This window comes from Homo sapiens, chromosome 4, assembly GCF_000001405.40.
Source record: "Homo sapiens chromosome 4, GRCh38.p14 Primary Assembly".
NCBI lineage: Eukaryota > Metazoa > Chordata > Mammalia > Primates > Hominidae > Homo > Homo sapiens.
This window is the reverse complement of record NC_000004.12, coordinates 81,424,750-81,449,843: the sequence shown is the minus strand read 5'-3', so window position 1 is coordinate 81,449,843 and position 25,094 is coordinate 81,424,750. Positions and strand designations below refer to the sequence as shown.

Genomic DNA, 25,094 nt, shown 5'->3' with positions numbered 1-25,094 from the left:
TTCTAGATATGTTGTCATTCTCCTCATAAGCAAATATCTCTTCGTTTGGGTTTTTGTAATATACTCTAATAAACAAAATTGCCTCTATAAAAAAACTATGGGTCTTATACTTGTAGGTAAATGCCACTTAATTTTCAGATAATTAATCTCAGCAAATGATATTGTGGTATTTTTTTAAAAGCCAATGGAGCCATAAACATAGGCCTTTCTACATCTGTAGGTTTACTGGGGATATCCTCCTTTGGAGATTTAACCTAAGGACCATGTTAGCATTGAATCAGCCTGTGTGCCTTTCTCTGATACAGGCATCATAATTTACCTAGAAGAATATTATTTTGGAAATTTTTGGCTAGAAAAGGAAGACTGAATGGACTCTGCAACTTATATCATAGCTGTGCCCTGGGATTGATGGATTATGAAGTCATTTCTTGATTTAACAAATGTTTTAAAAGTCAGGAGGTTGACAGTTATCTAAACTACATGCAGTGCTTTTTTAAACTAGTTTCTCTTAAGCATGAGGCTGTAGCATAATGAAGTAGCAAACAAAGTGGCACCTGGGAGTAGTGTTGCAGGGAGAATTGCCATGTGGAAGAGTTTGGTCGTGAACATTAATAGTGAGTCATGAATGCAAAAGAAATGATTATGAGCCCAGTGGAGGTCAGATGCCAGAAATGAATATCCACTGCTTCCTCATGGTAATGCACATTTTATGTGTAAGTCAAGAAGGTGGTAGGCCAGACGCGGTGGCTTATGCCTGTAATCCCCGCACTTTGGGAGGCTGAGGCAGGCGGATCACAAGGTCAGGAGTTCGAGACCAGCCTGGCCAACATAGTGAAACCCCATCTCTACAAAAATACAAAAATTAGCCAGGCATGGTGGCACATGCCTGTAATCCCAGCTACTCGGGAGGCTGAGGCAGGTGAATCGCTTGAACCTGGGAGGCGGAGGTTATAGTGAGACAAGATCACGTCACTGCACTCCAGCCTAGGCAACAGAATGAGACTCCATCTCAAAGAAAACAAAACAAAACAAAACAAAAGAAGGTGGTTCGAGGGGGTGAGTTGGAAGCAATGGTATATTTCTGTTAGGTAGCCAGACTGATGAGATTGATAGGACTAGAGAAATCAAGAAGGTGGCCCTAAAGAAAAAGCCTTAGGAAAAGGATGCATTGACTTGCGATCAATGTATTTCAACCCACCAGAAGTAAACTGGTAGGTATATTTCTTTGCTGGAACAGAGGACATTCAGTTATACTTAGTACTCATTATACTGGATTCCCTCAAGATGTAATCTAAATTGTCACGGGAGTGTTTTCATGGCCCAACCTGAACTGTACTCTCAGTCGCAACCCCAAAGAAGAACTAAACCTTACAGGTTTGAAAATGCCTTATGCATGTGTCTCAAACTGTTAGAGCTAGCTGAATCTTCCCGTAACTGCCCTTAACCAAGTTTATTCTCCAATGTCCAGGTAAAATCATTTGAGGACACAGTCTCTGAGTTTGCCTAGTGGCAAAACCAGACACGCAGAGTACGGATGTAATTCTTCGCTTATTCCCTAGCAGACATACAGAAAGAATGTCCAGCAAATGATGCAGTGTCTGATCCGCAAGCTTGCTGCGCTCAGCCAGTACGAAGAAGTCCTGGCAAAAATCAGCTCCACATCCACAGATCGGCTCACAGTTCTCAAGACCAAGCCACAGTCTATACAAAGGGATATCATTACTGTCTGCAACGACCCTTACACGTTGGCCCAGCAGCTGACTCATATAGAGCTGGTAAGGCCGTTATCATCATTGCCCTTTACAACCACAGATTTGCTTTGCTTTGGCAACCAGACGATATATTTGTCAGCGGTAATGTCACAGGAGAGGTCAGAATAATCCAAGTGGGAAATCATCTGAGATAGCTGAAACATACTTTGTTTATGGATTTGAATATGAATGCTTCTGATATTCTGGGGATTCACTTGTAAATAAATACTAAACAAGGCTGAAGAGCAAAGAGTTTATTGACTTTCCTCACCTTCCGCCTCTAATCAGTTTTTCCAAAACCTGCTCAGCCTTTCACTATCTTGTGGAACATTGACCCAAGCAGAAAATTGCCTCCGCACAGACCTTGAAGATGATGAAATTATTTAGGGCTAAAGGTTTATTTTATAATCTTCATTAAAAAATGGGGGGTGGTGCCAATAGTCATAGAGGGAGTTGACAGTCCATTTCTTTTCATTTTCTTTAATACTGTTGACCTTCTGGGTTTGTGTTTCAGGAGAGGCTCAATTATATTGGGCCAGAAGAATTTGTTCAGGCGTTCGTGCAGAAGGACCCTTTGGATAATGACAAGGTAATCAGTCTACCCAAAGGTCAGCACTGAAACCAAAAATGGGATTTATCAGTCTATGATAGTGGGTATAAAGGACGGAAGTTAGAACTATATTCTGTTGTAGATTTTAAAATCAGAATTTTTTTTTTCCATCAGCCACGTCTGATTCATGGCAGTTTTCTTGAGCGAGGTCTCCAAGCTCCTTTATAATATTGCCCCATCACTAACTTGTAGCCTTTTCTTCCTCCTTATTGGGAAATTTAGTAAGACCTTTACAGCAAGTAGATGCAGGCATTTGTGGTGATGAAAATAGGAGACGAAAGCATAATGGTTTTAGCAGATTAAGAATCTGCTAAGAGAGAAGGTTCTGCCCATAATTCAACAATAGCAGGGGCAGGAAAGACAGGATGCACATCCAGCTTGCTGAGCAAGGGGCTTGACTACTTTGCCTCTTGTTTTAAGGTGAATCTCTCATGAGAGGTTTATTGCCTAGGTGCAGCCCACTATTAAAGAAAATAATGCTGGGCAGGGACTGTCAAATCAGTGTACACATATAAGAAAATTTTTTATCTCCCAGTGACCTGGAAGCATTTTGAATTGTTAGGCAAAGACTACAACACACACTGCTGAAAGCCCCCTTCTGAGAGTGGGGGCAACAGCTGCTTTCCGGCCTTAGAATAGTGTCTCCTAATACAGGAAGTGAAGAATTTGTTTTGCAGTAGAAGGCTAGTGGACTCTTTGTTTGTCTCTTTCTTTTGGAAGGAAGGAAAGAGGGGTGTAATTAGCCTCTTCAAGCTGGCCTTGAACTTCAAGATGAGATTAACTTTTTTGCCTTTGAACAATGTGTTACTCACCCTACTAAAGACCATGATGGTGTAGACTTCTGTTTATCTACTTGGGAGATACTTAGTTTGTTGCAACATTATGTTCTAAAATTTTGTCCTATGCTTAATTTTAAGAGAAAATGTTCTACTCCTCTGTACTCTTAGCCATTTTTTGCTGTATCGATTATAGCAGTTGGTATTTGCACTCTATCTGAGTCGGGATTGTTTTGGAATGCAGCCAGAATTCTTCCTCTGAATTGTGTTTCTGAAGATACAATCCAGACTAACTTAGTATCTTGGGAAGAGGGGTAGGGACACTTTTTCTTTGGAGGCCGAATCTCACTCTGCCACCCACGCTAGAGTGCAGTGGCACGATCCCGGTTCACTACAACCTCCTCCCGGGTTCAAGCGATTTTCCTGCTTCAGCCTCCCAAGTAGCTGGGATTACAGGCACCTGCCACCATGCCCAGCTAATTTTTTGTATATTTAGTAGAGACGGGGTTTCACCATGTTAGCCAGGCTGATCTCGAACTCCTGACCTCTGGTGATCCACCCACCTCAGCCTCCCAAAGTGTTGGGATTACAGGCGTGAGCCACCACGCCCGGCCTAAGGACACTTTTATAAATGCATCAGAGTACATTTCTAGGCCTCAAGTGTTTCACTGGACTATCCTAAAGGACTTTGATATTTCTGTAAGGATAATCAAGAATGCCAGTGGTTGTCTTTCTCTCTCTCTTTCTGTTGTTCTCAAAAGCTTTCCTAATCCATAAACTGAGACTAAAGGCTCGTATTTCACAAAATGAGAGTCCACTACATTGTTTTTTTCCTCTAACTCATCTGTTTACTTTGTTTTCTCTAAAGAGTTGCTACAGTGAACGGAAGAAAACACGAAACTTAGAAGCTTACGTGGAATGGTTTAATCGCCTCAGCTACTTGGTTGCTACAGAAATCTGTATGGTGAGGAAATGAATTTTCTGTCTCCTAGTTCTCAACATTATTTTTTCATACTTATTTTAGAACTGTTGGGCCTTCATACTGGATAACTGCCCTCTATTGTCTTTTACTGTGTAGCCTGTTAAGAAAAAACACCGAGCAAGAATGATTGAGTATTTCATTGACGTAGCTCGGGAGTGTTTTAACATTGGCAACTTCAACTCCTTGATGGCGATAATCTGTGAGTATTTTGTGGAGGATACATGTCGTTTATCTTTACGAATCCTGTAAAATGACCCACAGAAAATGTGCAAATAGTATGGTTTTGTTAGTACAGACTGTATTTTTTAATCCAGAGTTATTTGAGAATGCCCAAAATGCTTTAAATAGCCAAATGAGTGCAAGTATGTGTGTAATCTTTCTTAAGTATGCAAGAATTGTTGGAATGTTTTAAGTTAACCTTAGCTAAATATTCATCTACAAAGGCTTATACATAAGATATTTGTCTACATAAAGAGTTTTAAAAAGTATTTTGGCAGCTTGCATATCAAGTATTATAGAAATAATGATCCAAGACTAAGTTATCTGATTCCTTGGACAAGAGAGTGGCCTAAGAAACTGGTACATTTTCTAACTGTTCAGGCTTCTAGTACTTATCACCCACAGACCTTATTACTCTAGTATACAAACTCACTCCTCTATATCATGGAGGTTTTAACATCAGAGACCATGTTTCTTTCCTTTCATTCTATAAATATGTATGGTAACAATATGTCTTGGTTGTTCCAATTTATACTTGTTGTCTTGCCTTAATTATTGATAATAGCTTTTGATAGTAGCTCTTTCATTAAAAAGTGTCCTAGTTTGTATGATCAATTATATGGCCATCTTATAAATTTGTAGGTGCTCAATAAACATTTGAATAGAAGAATAGGCTGGGCACAGTGGCTCACGCCTGTAATCCCAGCACTTTGGGAGGCAAGGCGGGTGGATCACAAAGTCAGGAGATCGAGACCACCCTGGCCAACATGGTGAAACCCTGTATCTACTAAAAATACAAAAATTAGCTGGGCATGGTGGCACATGCCTGTAATCCCAGCCACTCAGGAGGCTGAGGCAAGAGAATCGCTTGAACCAAGGAGTCGGAGGTTGCAGCGAGCTGAAATCATGCCACTGCATTCTAGCCTGGCGACAGAGGGAGACTCCGTCTAAAAAAAAAGGAAGAAGAAGAAGAGAGTTGAGGTCTTTTCGAAGGATCAGTTTGAAGCTAGAGAGTCTACCAAATTTAGTTCAAGAATCTTAATCTAATAAATTCTCCCTTCCACCAATTTATTTTTCCATTTTGTTTACATATCATTTCCTCTTTCTCTCCCCCCATAAAAAATACTGGCCAAGTCTCAGCTTATTATTTTTCTGACTAACTCTGTGAAAATAGCAAACAGAAAGATTATCTGAATCAGGGACTGAAAGGCCCACAGTCTAGATAATAGATTACTTAATTTGCCTCTTCTACTAGTAAGAAAATGTCAAGGCAAGCCATAGCATCGGAGAAAATGTATGTAATACATAGAGCTGACAAATAACTTGTATCCAGAATCTACAAAGAACCCTACAAATCAATGAAAAGACAAATAACCCAGTAAAAAAAAAGGCCAAAAGACTGAAACAGATTTGTCATGCGAGAGGATACTGTATATTAATGGCTAACGAGTATCTGAAATGGTGTTCCACATCATTAGTCATCAGAGAAATACAAATTAAATTGCAGCAAAATATTAATACCATTGCATACACTAGAATGACTGGAATTTTAAAAACTGGTTACACCAAATAGTGTTGAAGATGTGGAACAAGTGGGGCTCTTATTGTACATTATTGGCAGGAGTATAAAATGGTACTACTACTTTGGAAAACTGTTCAGCAATTTCTTATAAGGTTAAACATATTTCTACCCTGCAATGCAGAGATTGCACACACCTACATATTTACTCCATGAAAATGCCAACACATGTCCACAGAAAGATTTGTAAAAGAACACAGCTTTATTCATAATTGCCCAAGACTGGAAACAATCCAAATGCCCATTTACAAATGAATGGCTAAATAAATTGTGGCATGTTAATACAATGAAATACTGTTTGGCAATAAAAATGAACAATTGATACATATAAGTAACATGGATTAATTTTAGAATCATTATGTTGTGCAAAATAAGACAGACACAAGAGTGGATACAGTATGATTTCATTGATACGAAGTTCTAGGACAGACAAAACGAATCTCTGGTTTTAGGCAGCCACTGTTCTGATTTCTGTGGTGGTGGGGAGGTGACCAAAGAGGGTCCAAAGGAGCTTTCTGGGGTCATGAAATGTGCTACTATATCTTGATTGGAGTGGTAATACATGGACTTACACATTAGTCAAAATTCATCTAATTATGTGTTTAAGATCTGTGTATTTTTTGTATGTAAATTGTACCTCAGTTAGGAAGCAATCTCCCACTTCTGGTCCTTAAAATATGAATGTTGGTGGCATGGAATTAATATACGTACTCATTTAGGCTGGCATGGGTTCCTTTTCTGTACAACAGCCACTGTAATATTTTTCTGAATAGTTATAGTACGTAAAGTATCATTCAGGAGAGGCAGCATGGCTTGTTGGAATGAGTGTGGGTTATGGTGTTAGCTCCATGTGAGCTTCCATCTCTGTTACTTGTTAACTGGATATCCTTGGGAAAATTTCTTACTCCCTGGAACTTTAGCATATTCTTTTAAGAATGTTGAGGGGATGTATGAGATAGTACACGCAAAGCGTGTTTGACACATTAGTTTCTAGGTCAAAGGTCAGCAAACTATGACCCGTGGGTCAAATATGGTCCGTCACTGGTTTCTTTATGACCAGTGAGCTAAGAATGGTTTTTATCTTTTTAAATGATTGAAAAAAATGAAAATAATAATACTAACATTTCTAACATGTGACTGTAATATAAATTCAGATTTCAGTGTACATAAACAAAGTTTTACTGGAACACAACCATAACCATTTGTTTATGTAGTTATCTACATAACTGGATGGTGGCTGTTTTTGCATGACAGTGATAGTGTCTTGTAGTGATGACACAGACCATATGGGCTGAAAGCCTAAAATGCTTACTCTCTTTCCCTTCATAGAGAAAATGTATTCACCTCTGCACAGAGTCAGTGATAGCATTTATGCTGTTTCTCAACTCAGAATTTGCAAACAAAAAAAGTTATAAAATTGGAGTTTGTTACTTACTAATTTTAGAATTCTCACTTAGTAATGAAAGTATTTTAGAAGTATGTGTTTATCGTTTTTCTTATTTCTCTCTTTCAATTTTCCTTTTTTCTCCCCCTCCATTTCAAATGGGAAGCTGGTATGAATATGAGCCCAGTCTCTCGACTAAAAAAAACTTGGGCCAAAGTGAAGACTGCAAAATTTGACATTCTTGAGGTATGTGAAGCTGATGTTTTGCTGTTAAGTAACACTTTACACCTGGAAAGTGGAATTCCTTTATGTGGTCTTGCCTCTCCATCAGACTACGACAGAGGAAAAAGCCCATCTATCTTTACAGACCCAGGGAAAGGAAAGTGGGTAGAATTGGAGGGGAAAATAAATCAGGTTATGTACTGGTTGCTTTATAGGTAGAGATGTCCATTCTGGGGTTAATTGACTGGGGAAATAGTGACCTGTCAGTCACATCACCTTATATGTCAGAATGGAATTTTGGTCCTGAGCAGTTGAGAGTTTTACTTCACTGTGAGCCTATTAGCTTCATTTATCTTCAGTGTCTCAGGGGAAGGGTTCCCCATCCCTACAGTAACATTTGTTCATCATCCTTTCAACAAATTTAGCTGACCTGTGAAAAAGCCCTTCCCATACAATTCTGAGGATAGTAAGAATTGTGGGCCAGGCGCAGTGGCTCACGCCTGTAATCCTAACACTTTGGGAGGCTGAGGCAGGAGGATCACCTGAACCCAGGAGTTCAGGACCAGCCTGGGCAACATGGCGAAACCCCACCTCTATAAAAAATACAAAAAATTAGCCAGGTGTGGTGGCATGTGCCTGTAGTCCCAGCTACTTGCAGGGCTGAGGCAGGAGGATTGATTGAGCCTGGAAGGTGGGAGCTGTAGTGAGCCAAGATCACACCACTGCACTACAGCCTGGGTGGCAAAGTGAGACCCTGTCTCAAAAAAAAAAAAAAAAAAATCGCGTGCAAGAGTATGTGTATTTGAATCATATTCATCTCAGTACTACCTTGGTATATCAGTGCTTCGAATTACTATCTTTGGAGACAATAAGAAAGTGTTCTCTCCCAAGTTTTCTCCCAAATTGGAAATTACCATTATATATATAATGTTATGATCTATTCATACAACCTAATACATTTATTTTCCTTCTTGCAAAATGATATGCTTCAATTATTTGTGCATGATTTGTCACTACAAAGTGTTGGATCACTATGCATGGCTAACCATCAACGGGCCCGTTGACCTTCAGATGCAAACAGGAAATTTTTCTGATGCTGGTGTTTGACTCTTATTTGTTTTACATCTAAGCTCAACAATTAGCCTAGAAAGAATGCGGTTTAGGTTTAACATTATTGAAGCTGACATCAGCTCGCATAATTACACCAAATCTCAGGAAAGAAAACACTTGTGTCATGTGCATTTGTGTGTATGAGAAGGATAAATCATATTCCTACTGAGTTTCCTAACTTATTTTGAATTTTGTATATAGCTAAATATGTGATCTTATAAACTTCCTACAGAAGTTTACAATAAATAAATAGTTAATATTCTTCTCTCTTTTATCTATAGCATCAGATGGACCCTTCAAGCAATTTCTATAATTATCGAACAGCTCTTCGTGGGGCAGCACAAAGGTCTTTAACTGCTCATAGTAGTAGAGAAAAGGTATGCACTTAAAGAAGTATCTTTCTTATGGTAGAGTTGCTGTGTTTTATGCTGAAATGCTATGTGAACTACGACACTGAAGTTTTTTTACTTGTTAAGATTTAAGAGAGAGACATGTGTACTCTAGAAATGATACCACTTGACACACAGAGAAGGAGAATGCTACCAGAAAGTTTGTTAGACTGGATATTGCTGTGTTACTATTACATTACTTAAATAATTACTCTGTAGTGCCTCTTAATTGTGTTTCAAGCAATACATTAAGTCATATGTTAAGATGACTCATAGCATTAGAGAGTAATTTAGTTTAATGGTTTAATGGAAAATAGACATTTAAGCTCTGCACAAGGTAGCCGACTTAATATAACCTTTTCTCTTAAAAGAATTAGCTTACCTCCCATGGTTAAGTCATTTATTTTCAGAAAGTGGGTTAGTTGCTATAGCATTAGGTGTGCTGTTACTAATTGGATTATGGGGGTAGCAGAAAAAGTACAGGGGTCATGTCTGAGAAATTAATGGTCCTTTCTCACTCTACCCTACTCTTAAAACAAGTTAGTACCATCCTGCATCTACCATATTCTTGATTCTGAGGGTCCTTTCTTGGCACATTTTGGTGTCATATTTCTTTACAGAGGAAGGATAGGCTGTTTCAACATTTGGCAGTCATGTTATTTGAGAGGTGAATACTTAGTTATGGTAACTGGGTTAATGAAGGTTGCTTGATGGAGGTTATTTTCGGTTTAGATTCCATCTGTCTTTTAACTTAAACTATATCTTCCACAAATAAAAGAAAATGAGGTAAAAAACATTTCATGGCTTCCCAATCACGTCCCCTGAAAAAGGTTCGGCCTCAATGATCTGAAATAAAAATAAACACAAAACCCCACCTTTAATAAATGCGAACTTGGTTCTCAATCAGATCTGAAATATCAGTTCTAACAATGTTTGAAGGATATTGTAAATACTTCAAATTTTTTATTTAAATAAAGAAACTTATAAGATCAGAGGGGGTATGAAGCAGAGATGACAGTCTTACTGTAGCCTGACAGAGTTTGCCAGCTTTTAAGTTTTACTTGCTCAATCCCAGTACTCTTGTGATTAGATTGAGAAAAAAATCTAATATGAGGTCTTTTAAGCTTCAAACAGTGAGCACATGTGGGAGGATTGCAGTACACTGAAGAGTAAGTAAGCCCACTGAAGGGGCTGTATGTGGCCTCATTCACCTTCTCTGTGTTGCAGGGCAGGCAAGGTTCTCTCTGCATGGGCTTCAGTGAGGGCTTGGTGGGCTCTGCCCCAGGGAGGAGGCTGTGGAGTCATATCTGTGAGTAGGGAGCTGCATTGTTGGCCAAAGAAATTCTGAAGTGCAATCCCTCCAAAATATCTCAGTTGTGGAATTCTAAGTTTTTTTCTACAAAAAGTCCCAAGTATTTACCCTTCACATCATTTAATAAATTATGTCTGCTTTAGTTTTGTTTTGCTTTAAACAGGTTCTATGTGAACATATAAATTGTACTCTGTAGTTCATAAAACAAATGAAATCACAGCCATTCAATTATTAAAAAGTCAAGAAACAATAGATGCTGGCGAGGCTGTGGAGAAATAGGAACACATTTACACTGTTGTTGGGAAAGTAAATTAGTTCAACATAATTTACATAATTATGGAAGACAGTGTGGCAATTCGTCAAGGATCTAGAACCAGAAATACCATTTGACCCAGCAATCCCATTCCTGGGTATATACTCAAAGGAATATAAATCATTCTGCTGTAAAGACACATGCACACATATGTTTACTGCAGCAGTATTTACAATAGCAAAGACATGGAACATTTGGGTTGGTTCCAACCCAAATGCCCATCAATGATAGACTGGATAAAGAAAATATGGTACATATACACCATGGAATACTATGCAGCCATAAAAAGGAATGAGATCATGTCCTTTGTGGGGACATAGATGAAGCTAGAAGCCATCATCCTCAGCAAACTAACACAGGAACAGAAAACCAAACACTGCATGTTCTCACTCGTAAGTGGGAGTTGAACAATGAGAACACATGGACACAGGGAGGGGACAACACATAACTTGGGCCAGTAGGGGGCTGGGGGGGCAAGGGGAGGGAGAGCATTAGGACAAATACCTAATGCATGTGGGGCTTAAAACCTAGATGACGGGTTGATAGGTGCAGCAAACCACCATGACACATGTATACCTATGTAAGAAACCTGCACGTTGTGCACACGTATCCCAGAACTTAAAATTTAAACAAAAAAATCACAGCCATTTAAAAAAATGCCATCTCTTTTTACAGTTGGGCTCAAAGGCTAGGAGTGAAAGCATTTCTAGTTAAATCTACCTTTTATTCAAGAAAATTGGGATTCTTGGCCGGGCGTGGTGGCCCACGCCTGTAATCCCAGCACTTTGGGAGGCTGAGGCGGGTGGATCACCTGAGGTCAGGAGTTCGAGACCAGCCTGACCAATATGGTGAATCTTTTGTATCCTTTTAAATCTCAAGTTTGTGTGGTCAGAGTGGCACATCTCTAGGTACCTAATAGAGAACAAACCAAATGTGTCTTCCACACAGCAGCCCTTAAATATTCTTTAAATAGCTGTTTGTTTTTTTTGTTTCTGTAGGTACCTGTGTCTCCAGGTTTTTAACCATTTCTCATATGATTACATGGCTTTAAATCCTCTTGCCATTCCAATTCTGCTCCTGTGAACTTACTTGGTCCTATTTATCAGCATTCATTTCTAGGTGTGGAACTGGCAAAACCCTTATGGTGCAGTTGCTGGGTCTCTGAATTAAGAATATTTTGAAAGGAAATTCGAAAATATTATTACCTGAGAAGTTCTCCTGCTAAAAACATCATTGACAAGACCTTCAGGAAAATGAACTTTTGCTTTCTCCTACTAATAATGTGTACATTCACTTAGCTCATGGAAATCTGAAGTCCTTATAATCTGATTTTCACTATATTAGATTTGTGTAGGGGCTACAGATCTGAAGGGAATTATCCATGAATAAATGAGAAGTTGAAGCCTGCAAGGCTTCTTTCTTGCATGCAGGCATAAGGAACAGAGCAGTAAAATATCCTAAGTAAGATTATTTCTATTTCTATGAAAGAGTGATTGAGATAGTCAATAGTGGAGCATCTTGCAGGCACCCCTGAATGCAAAAATCATGTAAGGTAATAGCCTCTGCCATCTAGAATTTATAATCCAGCTATAGGCACCTGGCGTGAATTTATGAGAAGTTTAAATATCAATAAGAAACAGTAAATGATCAGCACTGCATGAATCTCACAGCTCAGCACCAAAGAATAGAGCACAAAAATAAAGTTATTTTTTTAAAAGCTGCTACAATATACAAATATTACATCTTGATTATAATTTTATTCTTATTTCCCTGGGGCTGTCTTATGATGATGTATCCTTATTATCCTCTAAGTGCATATTCACCTTAGACACAGTAGCACAGAAGACAGTATGAAGATGAATGAATATGGCTGTCTTCCAGTAAAACTCAATGGCCACTGTCATTTGAATTTCATATAATTTTCATGCATCTTGAAATATTATTATTTTTTTATTTTTTAGCTACTTAACAAATGTAAAATGTGTGACTCCTAGGCAATAAAAAAGAGGCCTGAGGGCCACAGTTTGCCAACTCCTAGCTTATAGCACCAGGAAATTCTGAAGCGAAATTTTTTGCTGTTGTCTGGCAGCATCCAAAGTCCAGCATTCCCATTCACAAATAGTCTTTCAGAGAAGCAAGGTTCAGTTGTACTTTTACTATTGTTACTATGCTGTTTAGTTCTAACATAATGGAAAATAGCTAATCACGTTAGAAGGAAAGGTAATGAGATCTTTACTAATTTGGCTTTAGAGACTGTCCGAGATAATAACAAATGATTAAAAGTATATTTAGGTGAGATGTCAAAAGAGATCAAAACAGAAGATTCATTTTGGTTATTTTCAGAAATCAATGAAACAAAAATAATCAAAACTTGTTTTTTAAATGACTTTGGTGAAAATCTGAATTTTTCCTTAGAAGGGAATTGATACTTAATATTTTTGTGTGTGAGCCCAAAAGTATGTTTTCTGTTCACTCAATATAGAAGTACCACCTGAGTCATAAGCTTAGGGAACTTAAAAGATCTGACTTTGGGGAAACAAGATAGGCCCACGATCGGTGTTTAGTGGATTTTTTACATTGTAGGAAATTTAGGATCTTTAAAAATATGTTGACATTTGAGAGAAAATGGAAATTACTGTATGTGAGCCTTTTTCTCTGTTTCTTGTAGGTTTAGTATGATTTGGGGTACTTACTGAGAGATTATTGCTTTAGGTTAATTAATTAAATACCACCTCATCAAGCCAAAGAATTCAGATGGGAAAGTATTTTTAAAGGTTTATTGTTTTTAAACAGCTATTAATTTTAATTTATACATTCATATTTCCTCCTTCACCTGGGGCATATTTGTCTCAAAACATATTATGCAAGGTACTTCTTAGGTGATTTCCTATGAGAGCAGGTGCTAACTTGTTCATCATACACAGGCTAGGTTTACAATAGAAAGTTTGTAGCAACTATTCTAAACTGAACTCTCACATTATCTTGAGGAATGTCTTCAAGAAGAAATAAAATGTTTATCTAAAAAAAAAGTTTATCTTAAATGTAGAAGTCTAAATAATAAGCAGTACAGCTTCTAGCAGGGAGATGGGTCATGCATCTTAAAATCTTGGTACATGGCTGGGCTTGGTGGCTCATGCCTGTAATCTGGGCACTTTGGGAGGCTGAGATAAGAGGATTGCTTGACCCCCATGAGTTAGAGACTAGCCTGGGCAACATAGTGAGACTCCATCTCTACACAAAATTTTTAAAAATTAACTGGGTGTGGTGGCACGTGCCTGTAGTCCCAGGTATAGGAGGGTGAGGCTAGAGGATTGCTTGAGCCTAGGAGTTCAAGGCTGCAGTAAGCCATGATTGCACCACCGTACTCCAGCCAGGGTGACAGAGAAAGACCTGTCTCTTAAAAAAAAAAAAAAAAAAAAAAAGGCCAGGCGCGTTGGCTCACGCCTGTAATCCCAGCACTTTGGGAGGCCAAGGCGGGCGGATCACAAGGTCAGGAGATCGAGACCATCCTGGCTAACACGGTGAAACCCTGTCTCTACTAAAAAATACAAAAAAAAAAAATTAGCCGGGCATGATGGTGGGTTCCTGTAGTCCCAGCTACTCGGGAGGCTGAGGCAGGAGAATGGCATGAACTGGGGAGGTGGAGCTTGCAGTGAGCAGAGATCGCACTACTGCACTCCAGCCTGGGTGACAGAGCGAGACTCCATCTCAAAAAAAAAAAAAAAAAAAAAAATCGGTGCCTGCAATGATAGGTATTCTTTTTTTTTTTTTTTTTTTTTGAGAGGGAGTCTCGCTCTGTCGCCCAGGCCGGACTGCGGACTGCAGTGGCGCAATCTCGGCTCACTGCAAGCTCCGCTTCCCGGGTTCACGCCATTCTCCTGCCTCAGCCTCCCGAGTAGCTGGGACTACAGGCGCCCGCCACCACACCTGGCTAATTTTTTGTATTTTTAGTAGAGACGGGGTTTCACCTTGTTAGCCAGGATGGTCTTGATCTCCTGACCTCATGATCCACCCGCCTTGGCCTCCCAAAGTGCTGGGATTACAGGCGTGAGCCACCGTGCCCGGCCCAATGATAGGTATTCTATTAACATTTTGCTAAGGGGTTGCTAAGTGAAAGGCAAGAGTTCTTTTAGGTATTTTTTCTTTCATAATAGCTAGAGTTTTCAGATTTTATTGCATACTACTGCAATGAGAAAAATAGGAAAAATTGTAATAAAAGTACTAACCTATTCACTTCCCATTGCTACTTGTCCTTGCTGTGCTTTGGTTATAGCAGTTGTAGTATAAGCAAAATTATGTAAGGGAAGAAATTGCTGTTGTGTAAGAAACAAAACACTGTACCTTAATTCTTTGTGGCCTTTCATATAATCAAAAGTTAATGTTGTTCATTAATCTTGTGTATTTTTATGAAAGGCTAAATATTTGTTTGCCCAGACCAACCAGAATCTTTTGTTTCCTCTAGATTGTGATACCATTCTTCAGTCTCTTAATCAAAGATATTTATTTCCTCAATGAGGGTTGTGCCAACCGCCTTCCCAATGGCCATGTCAATTTTGAGGTGAGTGTGATAAAGTAGGATACAAAAATCCAAGCACAAGGAGAGGGGCAGCTTCTCCAGCACCGCATTCCTGGCCAGGCAGCCAAAGCCAATTCTGCAGTTTCAGAACAAATTATCTCTTTCCATATTATTTTGTTAGAAATTAACAATACCAAGTAGAAGAGAATAGCTGAGCCATTATGATGATGATTATTACTATCTGAGGGAACTTGAGAACATTTTTTTACCTCACAAATAGAGTTTTATTAAATGAAGAAAACTATTTAATTCAGAAGATTAAATACCAGAAAGTAGCTGCAGTAGCTCACGCCTGTAATACCAGTGCGTTAGGAGGCCAAGATGGGAGGATTGCTTGAGGCTAGGAGTTTGAAACCAGCGTGGGCAACAGTGAGACCCTGTCTCTGCAAAAAATTAAAATATTAGCTAGTCGTGGTGGTTCGCACCTGTAGTCCCTGCTAGTAGCAGGGAGGCTGAGGCTGAAGGATTGCTCGAGCCCAGGAGTTTGATGTTGCAGTGAGCTATGATTGCACCACTGCACTCTAGCTTTGGTGACAGAGTGAAACCCTGTCTCCTTAATAAAATAAGAAGGAATCATTTCAAATGGTATTGCCTCTCCCAAACTCATAATTATTTTTTTATGATCACCTTTATATTCTTTTTTTACTTATCTTCCAGAAATTTTGGGAACTGGCCAAACAAGTGAGTGAATTTATGACATGGAAACAAGTGGAGTGTCCATTTGAGAGGGACCGGAAGATCTTGCAGTATCTGCTCACAGTACCAGTCTTCAGTGAAGATGGTAAGGCCATTCAATAGGAGCTACCACTAGCATCCCCAAATCCTTCATTTAGGAAATTAGTATAGAAATGCTTGGTTACTCATATAGTAATGAGGCCTGTCCTCTGATCTGTTCCATGTTAAGAGTTTTCTGTTTCACAGAAAATGTATGATTTGTCCCTAAAATATTTGCACTTAATATTCACCTATAAACAGTAGGTTTCTGTGTTTAAGTATTCTTTATAATACCAGATTTGCACAGCTATGGGCACAAATGGGGTTATTGAAGAATTTTTTTTTTCTTGCTTGAGCTTACTTGAATAGACAAAAGGTGTTTTGTGGTATGTTGATAGTCAGTGTAATTTGGAGAAAAATAACAAAAACAGTAAATTGCTACCCCCTGCCGTTTAAAAAAGTACTGGAACATTTTGACCTGTTAAAACATTAGGGAATTTGAAGCAGAAAAAGAGATTAGATACAGAAAAAAATCATCAGAAGTGAGCTCATAAAATACTTAGAGATTTATTTTATTGATTTGTTATATCCTAATATTACAGGAATTAATAGCACCTATTAACAGTTTCTCATAGTAGATTGATAGTATTTACAATAATGACTTTTTTTTTTTTTTTTAAGACAGCAACTCACTCTGTCACCCAGGCTGGAGCGCAGTGGCACGATCACAGCTCACTGCAGCCTCAACCTCCTGGGCTCAAGCAATCCTCTCACCTTAGCCTTCCAGATAGCTGGGAGTACGGGCGTGCACCACCATGCCTGATTAATTTTTTTCTTTCTTTTTTTTTTTTTTTCTTGTAGAGACAGGGTTTTTCTGTGTTGCCCAGGCTGGTCTCCAACTATTGGGTCACATGATCTGCCCACAGCCTCTCAAACTGCTGAGATTATGCCACCACACCCAGCCAGGAGAACATTTTTAATTAATATCACCTATGCCAGAGGGGATTTGTTTTTAATCTCTATAAAGAGGACTAATAACAAACTTTTGAATTTTTAAATGAAGAGTCTTTCTGATTTAAAAAGGAAGAAAAATATTAGTAGAATGGAAAATTGGTCTAGAAAATTTTTACCTAGGCTTTTTACCTAGTAAAGAGTTTTAAAAAAAAGAAAAAAGGAAAAAACAACTCAGACTACCAGGAAAGAACTCCCACCCCTTTCTTTGTAAAGAACATTAAGTCTGAGTATACGACAGCATCATATGGCTTACATTTTATAAGCTTTTTTTTGCCTTATACATTCTTAGGTAATTAAGTGCATTTTTGGCTTAGAAGCCCTTGGGTTTTCATTGAGATGGTCAGTCAGAGGCAAAGTGATATTCTGTGTTCTTCATGAAACAGTGAAGCTTCTTGGTCATGACTTGATATTTTGAAGAGTATTTTGCTATGGAGTTTGGCTCAAGTCGAACAAGGGTGGTGGTAGATAATATATCAGGAGAAGGCTTTAATGTTAATGCACTTTCTTTTGTTTGATTGTAGCTCTCTACTTGGCTTCTTATGAGAGTGAAGGACCTGAAAATCATATAGAGAAAGACAGATGGAAGTCTTTAAGGTGGGTCTCATTCTTCTCATTGCTGCACAAGTCTGAAGGAAATTGGCTTTCCTTGAAGAAAGCCACATGCGTTCTATAGGAAGCTGCTGTCTATCTGTTCCAAGTCCTCTGCACTTTATCTCTTGTACACCAAATCTTTGTGGCTCAGAATTCTCACTACCATCATTCTGCTTTATTGTCTTTCATTTTTTTTATATTGGCAGATATACAGTGACTGTTCTTTTTCTCTCCCATTATTTAATAGAATGAGGAACTGAGCCATAGTATGTTAAAAAAAATGCATTGACTTTGTCTAAAATATCAGAAGTTCAGACTTTATTTCTGAAGAGTTCTTCTGACACTAAAATTTTATTTAACCTGAGATAAAGAAAGAAGTACTAGTAGGCTTTATAAAGTTGGGTTTGCCACTTTCCAAGTGGATCTCAGTCCCCTCTTTGTTTGAGAGAGTTGGGACTTTAAACATAATCTGGAGATTTTTCAGATTTACAACTTTTGATATCCTATGAGTATGTTTGAAGAAAACTAGAATAGGGTTAAATTTGTATTTTAAGCATTTGAGATACTTTAATAGGCAAAAGCAGCCCAGGGTATAATATAATCAAACTTGTTATCATTATAGTCCTACTGAGAAACTCAGAATGTATACCTTTTTGTACTAGGGTTTACAAGCACATTTTCTCTTATTTTTGTGGTCCCATAATCATTTGAGAGCCTTCATTATACTTGATATTAGGCTAGATTTCATGAACCAGGATATCTAAGATATACTTGGTTTTGTGTGGTTGTGTTTGTTTCAAAGGAAAGCTTAGGCCTTCTTTGTACCTCCCAGTGATGAGGGATAAGGTATGAAGGCATTGGAATTCTTATCCTTAGGATATCATAGTAATTGGTGAAGGATTGGAGATGTTCCTTGTATGCCCAGACACAAACATAAAGAAGGTTTGGCTAATGCCTAAAGCCATGGGATATAACAGGCTTGTTGGGCTGATGCCTATATATATATGTACAGAACTAATAATGCATTGACTAATTATATATATATATATATTATATAAAATATATATAATTTTGTGCCTGGCAGTGGCACATTTCAATTAAAATTTTGTATTACTCTGTGTTTGTATTAAAATATTTCACTGTGCTATTTAGTATTATTCATGTGCAAAACATGAGCCTCAGAGTGCATATCTTGCTGGATAAAAGATTTGAGAATTACTCCTTTTAGTTATCCTTTTTTGATACATTTTGCCTTCCATATGTCTCCTTTTTAATCCCTCCTTTCTGTATTTTTAAAAACAGTAAGTTTGGTGGGGTCTCTGGGTATAGCTTAGCTTTTGTTACTTTTCTTGTAGATTATTTTAAAAATTGGTAAGCAGATTGGCTACACATAAATGATATCTGGTATCTGCATTACCTGTGGTCTCCAGACATTTTAAATTAATCCAGACCTACCTACAAAATTATTTTATAGTTCTTTTTATTTTATGACATATTAACTAATGGTTAGATTGGAAAGGTTCATAAGTCAAAGGTTTGACTTTAAAAGCTAAAGATTGAACTGTATAATGTCTTCCCACGTCTGTACTGTTCACATAATATATGACATCTAACATTTGATTGTGAAATGGGAAAAGTTCCCTTGTGCCCCTCCCAGGGCATGCGATGGGGGTGTGGTGTGGCTCCCTTCTTCAGTGCCCTGCTGCTCAAACCTCTAGAGGAGCATACCAGTGGGCAGGCTGTGGGGCTCCGACCCCACGGCAGTGTCTAGGGGTGAATGTTTATAGCTCTTGAAGCCCCAGTGGGCCTGTATTACAAGGCGCTCCCTTATTTTGCCATCTATAGGTGGCTTGCGTTAACCGGCTCAATTAGACCCTCTACCTTATGGCAAGGACAGAGGGCTTTCTGTATCTCAGCATTCTTGCCTCGGTGTACTGGAAGAATCGGGTCGCACATAGGCTTGGAAAATGAGTGCAAAGCTTTTTGTTTGTTTGTTTGTTTGAGACGAAGTCTCTCTCTGTCGCCCAGGCTGGAGTGCAGTGGGAGGATCTCGGCTCACTGCAGGCTCCGCCTCCCGGGTTCACGCCATTCTCCTGCTTCAGCCTCCCAAGCAGCTGGGACTACAGGCGCCCGCCACCACGCCCGGCTAATTTTTTGTATCTTTAGTACAGACGGGGTTTCACCATGTTAGCCAGGATAGTCTCGATCTCCTGACCTCGTGATCCGCCCGCCTCAGCCTCTCAAAGTGCTGGGATTACAGGCGTGAGAGTGCAAAGTTTTATTGAGTGGAAGTAGCTCTCCGCCTATGGGGGAGCCCAAAGGGAGATGTTTTTACACTGGAGTGGGGCCACTCAGTGGCCCAGGCTCTCCTCCGACTGCGCCTGCCAAACTTCGCCTCGTCCCGCCAGTAAGTGGCCTGCCAGTGTGCTGGCGTATGTCGGTGTGCCCATCTGCCAGCGTGCTCCCCTCAGTGTCCTCTCGACGACCAGCCGCTCCTCAGACTGCCCCTGCCAAACTCCGCCTCATCCCGCCAGTCTGTCCTGCGTGCTGGCATCTTTCGGTGTGCCCTGCCGGCGTGCCCTTCTACCAGTGTGCTCCCCTCAATGTCCTCTCGACGACTCGCCACTTGCGTCTTCTTCAGCAGATGTGTTCCTCACCACGTCCAGCTACTTGTGTGTCTGTCTGCCGGCGGTCTCGGGTTTTTATAGGCCCAAGATGGGGGCGTGGTGGGCCAGGGTGGTCTTGGGAAATGCAACATTTGGGCAGGAAATGTCTGTCCTCACCTAGGTCCGTGGGGGTTGAGCCCTAGCCAGGGACCTGCCTTTCTCTACCCAGCACTTCCCTTCCCCATTCCGTATCATTTAAAGGGACCGTGCTCTTCCCCTCCCAGCACTCCCGTATCAATTGGTTGAAATGAAAATTATATTCTTTGGTATAAAAGACAGTTTCCACGTTAAAATTGTTTTTTAAGGAGCTTTGAAGAACAGCTCTCATCTGTGTTGGTGTTCAAGCCACACACTCTGCCTTTTCCATATCCTGTCTGTTCTCATGGCCCAGCTCCAATGCCTCCCCCGTCCCTGGCCCGTTTTTCCCTAGAAAGAATTTCTCCAGAACTCATACACTCAGGAGGCACTCTTCCTCTCTCGTTACCAGCCATGTGGTTTTGTGTAGTGTTTGTGGTTTTCTCTATTGCTATGTAAGCCCCTTGAGGGCAAGCACAGGGTCTTCCCCTAATGTCTGCCCCAGCTCTGGACACAGTGTCTTGCTCTCTATTACTCGTCAGCCCATGCTCCTGTAGTGTCATTGAATGGTACTGGGTTATCGCAGGTGTTGGCCAAGGCATAGCAACCACGAAGAAGTTAAAACAAAATAAAACAGGCTATTATAATTTACAAAATACATACGTTAAGTGGATACTAAGATTAAGCATAATCATCCCTTGGTATTTATGGGGGATTGGTTCCAGGACCTCCTGCAGATACCAAAATCTGAGGATGCTCTAGTCCCTGGTATAATAAAATGAAACTTTCTGTTGCTGTTGTTTTCAGAAATATTCTTTTCTTGTGGCCATCAGTCTTACTGATTCAATAACACATAACCTGTTAGGGTAAACTCAAAATAATAAATAGATAATACTTGAATATAGCCATATGCATCCTCTCTTATACTTTAAGTCATCTCTAGATTACTTATAATACCTAATATAATGTAAATGCTATGTAAATAGTTGTTGTACCATAAATCATCTCTAGATTAATTTCAATATCTAATATAATGTAAATGCTATATACATAGTTGTTATACCATATTACTTAGGGAACAATGGCAAGAAAAAGAGTCTGTATATATTCAGTACAGACCCATATTTTTTGTTTCAAATATTTTTGATCTGCAGTTGATTGAATCCACAGGTGCAAAACCCACAGATAGAGAGGGCTGACTATATTCTGGAATCATTGTACCTACCTGAAAACTTTTATACATTAGCTTTGAAGGCAGTAAGATATTTTTACATAGATGCTTTTCTTGGTGGCCCTAGAGCCATTCATTGCAGACACGTAGATTCATCAGTGGCAGATACACCTCTGACGGCAGACACCCTTATTGTCAACTATTGTTTAAACTCTCCCAGTGTTCATGGAATGTGTTGTGAAGATGCTTATATCTACCAAGTAAATCTATCTGTGATAACCTGTACCTAAAAGCTCTTTATCATTAATGATCTTTGCTTTTTTTGTTTTTGTTATAATATAAACCTACGCAAGATATAGATTTATCTGTTTAAGCTTTTGCCATCTCCATTAATAAATGTTTGTTTTTTAAGTGACTGGCAGTTTTCCCAGAGAGCCAATAGGACTTAAAAGCTTGATTTTTTTTTTCCTGGTTTAACTTTGTAAAATCAAACTTAAAACACAGGAAAGATAAAATTAGTATTACACAAGGCATTTTCATCCTAGTTCAAGTAGTCTGTTACATTCTGTCTTAGGTTGTGTTGTTTTTATTACTCAGGTCGAGCCTCTTAGGCAGAGTTTAACACATGGGAGCTGCCTGCCTGCTGCTGCTGCTGCTTCCTGCAGATCATGGAGGGGCTGGCCTTTGTTTTCTGGCATCTCGTACCACGAACACTCATGAAGACCCTGCAGTCATTGGAGCACCCGGGTCAGCAAAGCACACAAGCTCACTCAAGACCAGATGGAGAACTTATTTCCTGCAGCTGACAGATAGACTCAGATTTTGTGAGACTGAAATGTTCACTGAAGACACTTGAGAAAGAATCCTCTAAAAATCCCGGCTCTGCACATTATTCATCTCCTGGAATTTCCATGTGAATCACAGCTCTGCACCTGGATGGAGTTTTCTTTTGTGTGTGTGTGTTTTTTTTAATTTGGTTGAACATTTGCTGCTAATGGGACTTGCCCAGCTGAGTGCTGGCTCTGAGGAAGCCCACGTTTCTTTTGTTAACTTAAATGAAGAAAGGAGTGGAGGGAGGGGATCTAAAACCCCCCCGTTTAGATCCCAAACCTTAGCTCAATCAGTATTGCCAGAGAGGGGTAAGACTGGTTGGAAGCTGACTGCAGACTTTGTTTCCCCTTAGTATGTGCTGTGTTGTAAATTTTTCTCCTCCCTCCTCCTACAAGGTTTTGAGTTGGCTGCTGGTTAGCAAACTCCTTTTTACCCATATAAGTTATTTAATATAATAATGAAGCTCAACACTGTGGTAGGAAAATAGCCACTAGAAAGAAAATAAAAAGCAGAGTTTGTCATTGGACTGCTTAACATGCTAGAAGGACTTTTTTTTTTTTTTTTTTTTTTTTTTTTTGCTCTTCTGAGCTGTTTACAACTGACCACTGTGTTCCACAGATGTATTTTTCAATAGCTTTTTGTTACTTAGTTTTCCATGATGCCTGTTATTTTTCTCTTGTAAATTTAAATGAGCTGACTTTAAGGATCTTGGGAAAACCCATGGCATAATTACAATTTTCTTTTTAATCGACTTTTCATTACTTTTGGGAGTCTGTTGGTAACTAAAGATGTCAACAAAGAATAAATTGGAGAAGTTACCTGTCCCCACTATAGCAGTAAACAAAACAGATGAAAAACACCTTGCTGTTAACTCAATGGTTGATCTAATTGTGAAATCGTTCACCTTGTTAAACATCTAAGTAAGTCTGTAGTCGCTCTGCAAACAGCCATTATATTTATTTACTCTAGAAGAAACTGTAGAGTAGTAATTCGTGCTAATGAGAAAAACAAAATACCATGTTCAAAACAGATGTATTTGAAAACTTAATGACATGGTTCCAAAAACTAGAGCATGTATGTATGCTGTGCATCATCTCAGCAGACCTAAAATATCCCCAAGTTGTCCCTTTACAGCCATCAATATATTTTACACTCTGCGGCCAGGAGTTGTGGCGTCTTTCTTTTCTTTTATGGGTGGAATTGTTGGGGGCGGGCATGGGCTATAATCACAGTGGATCAGTTCAAGAGACTGGCTAAGAATGTATCTGAGGAAGTTATCTTAACAGTTTGTGCATGGGCATTTATTTTTTAAAAAAGAATGATAGTATTATTTGCCAGGCATTTTCTAAGTGTTTAGCATAGATTCATCTCTACCTATTAGGGGTGGAAATAATAATAACTTGTACAAGGCCACATAGCTAATGAGAGGCACAGATACTTGAAATGGGCCTTCTAATTCCAGACCTCAAGCTTTAAACCACACCACCACAGCATCTCAAACTTCAATATCCTTGCAAATTACCCGGGAATCTTTTTTACATGCAGATGCAGATTCTGTCGGTCTGGGATGAGGCTCAGGGAATGCTGATGCTGCTGGTCCTGGGATCCCGCTCAGAGTAGGAAGACACTTCTGCCTCATGATACCTGTTGAGATTTTAATTTATGGGGGTAGCTGAGTGATGACACACAGAGGCCAGTGCCACTGAAAGCTTTATATTATTCAATTTCCCCAGAGAAAGGGCACATGCCATGCCATGCAGGGCCACAGGGGAAGCACCGGTGTCGGTCGGGGGCAGAAGCAGGAGCAAGAAGAAAGCATAGGCTTTGACTGAGGTTTCTGCAGGGAGGCAAGGCAGAGCAAGGCCAACAGTTTCCAATTGGCAAGTCTGAATAATTCCAGCAGGCTCTGGGCTGGAGGGGCGGTCTCCATTTGCTTGGTACCTAGCCCCTGGGGTGAGTTAGGGCAATTTCTATATTGGCTTGGTGTGTGAAAGTTAGATAAAGGGGAAGGTTGCGGCTATGTTCTTGACAATAGTTAGATATGCTCAGGGCTCAGTCCTTTGCTGTCTCCAAGAATTAGCTAGTCCTGGGAGTCTCTTCCCTGCCAGCAAAATTTATAAGATACCAGAACATCATAAGATACAGAAAAAAAACCGTGATGAATGCAACTTCACAATATTGCCTCCTTTTTCCTTGCACTGCCTTTCCCTGATCCCTCTACCACTTTGGTTATTGTGACAGCAACAAGATTCATCTTTCAACCATCTACACCAGGGGTCAGCAAACTATGGGCTGATGGCCAGATCTAGCCAGCTGCTTGTTTTGTATGGCCCACAAGGTAACAATGCTAGAAAAAAAAAAAGAAGATCTCATGATGTGAAAATTATCTGAAATTCAAATTTCAGTGTCCTTAAGTAAAGTTCTATTGGAACATGGCCACACATTTATTTATATATCTTCTTGTGGCTGTTTTCTGCTACAGCTGCAGCGTCTTATACTAAACAGACTGTATGGCCCATAAAGCCTCAAATATTTACTTTATGGGACTCGATGGAAACTTTACTGACCCCTGATCTCAGTGTTTCTTTTAAGCATTGCAAAGATAGTTTGCAAAAATGCTATGAGAGCTCTATGATGGCATTAGATACCTAAATGTAGCAGCTGAAAAAAATTTCCTAAAGTGGTATTAGGCCTAAAAAAAAGTGATTCTAGGGCTACTTAAACAAGAAGTTTTTACAGCAAGAGTTACATCCTCTACTCATTTTAATGTCTAGGTAAGCCAGAGCTTTAAATCCTGTATTAATTTACC

General features: G+C 39.4%; 1 protein-coding gene across 3 annotated transcripts in view, besides 3 other annotated features; it reads left to right on the top strand.

The window, feature by feature from the left end:
* Window positions 1-23,451, top strand: part of RASGEF1B (RasGEF domain family member 1B) — a 45,515-nt gene extending 22,064 nt beyond the window's left edge. For 2 of the 3 annotated variants that reach the window (NM_001300736.2, NM_001300735.2), the window contains 10 exons: window positions 1,563-1,775; window positions 2,266-2,340; window positions 4,006-4,101; window positions 4,216-4,318; window positions 7,468-7,547; window positions 8,915-9,010; window positions 15,110-15,205; window positions 15,881-16,004; window positions 17,473-17,545; window positions 22,052-23,451. In NM_001300736.2, the coding sequence (NP_001287665.1) occupies window positions 1,563-1,775; window positions 2,266-2,340; window positions 4,006-4,101; window positions 4,216-4,318; window positions 7,468-7,547; window positions 8,915-9,010; window positions 15,110-15,205; window positions 15,881-16,004; window positions 17,473-17,545; window positions 22,052-22,076 (981 nt within the window). In that variant the 3' untranslated portion in view covers window positions 22,077-23,451. Of the gene's footprint in view, window positions 1-1,559; window positions 1,776-2,265; window positions 2,341-4,005; window positions 4,102-4,215; window positions 4,319-7,467; window positions 7,548-8,914; window positions 9,011-15,109; window positions 15,206-15,880; window positions 16,005-17,472; window positions 17,546-22,051 lie in introns of all 3 variants that reach the window. The other variant, NM_152545.3, reaches the window with a different exon arrangement.
* Window positions 22,015-22,309: a silencer, noted in NCBI's record as "tiled region #8336; K562 Repressive non-DNase unmatched - State 7:EnhWF". NCBI's record gives its function as "represses a minimal TATA promoter and a strong SV40 promoter by Sharpr-MPRA in K562 cells {active_cell/tissue: K562}" and the evidence as "EXISTENCE:reporter gene assay evidence [ECO:0000049][PMID:27701403]".
* Window positions 22,015-22,669: a biological region, named in NCBI's record as "Sharpr-MPRA regulatory region 8336".
* Window positions 22,085-22,669: an enhancer, noted in NCBI's record as "OCT4-NANOG hESC enhancer chr4:82348329-82348913 (GRCh37/hg19 assembly coordinates)". NCBI's record gives its function as "activates a minimal SCP1, AML or CMV promoter by ChIP-STARR-seq in primed H9 embryonic stem cells {active_cell/tissue: H9 hESC(primed)}" and the evidence as "EXISTENCE:reporter gene assay evidence [ECO:0000049][PMID:30033119]".
* Window positions 23,452-25,094: the final 1,643 nt, after the last annotated feature.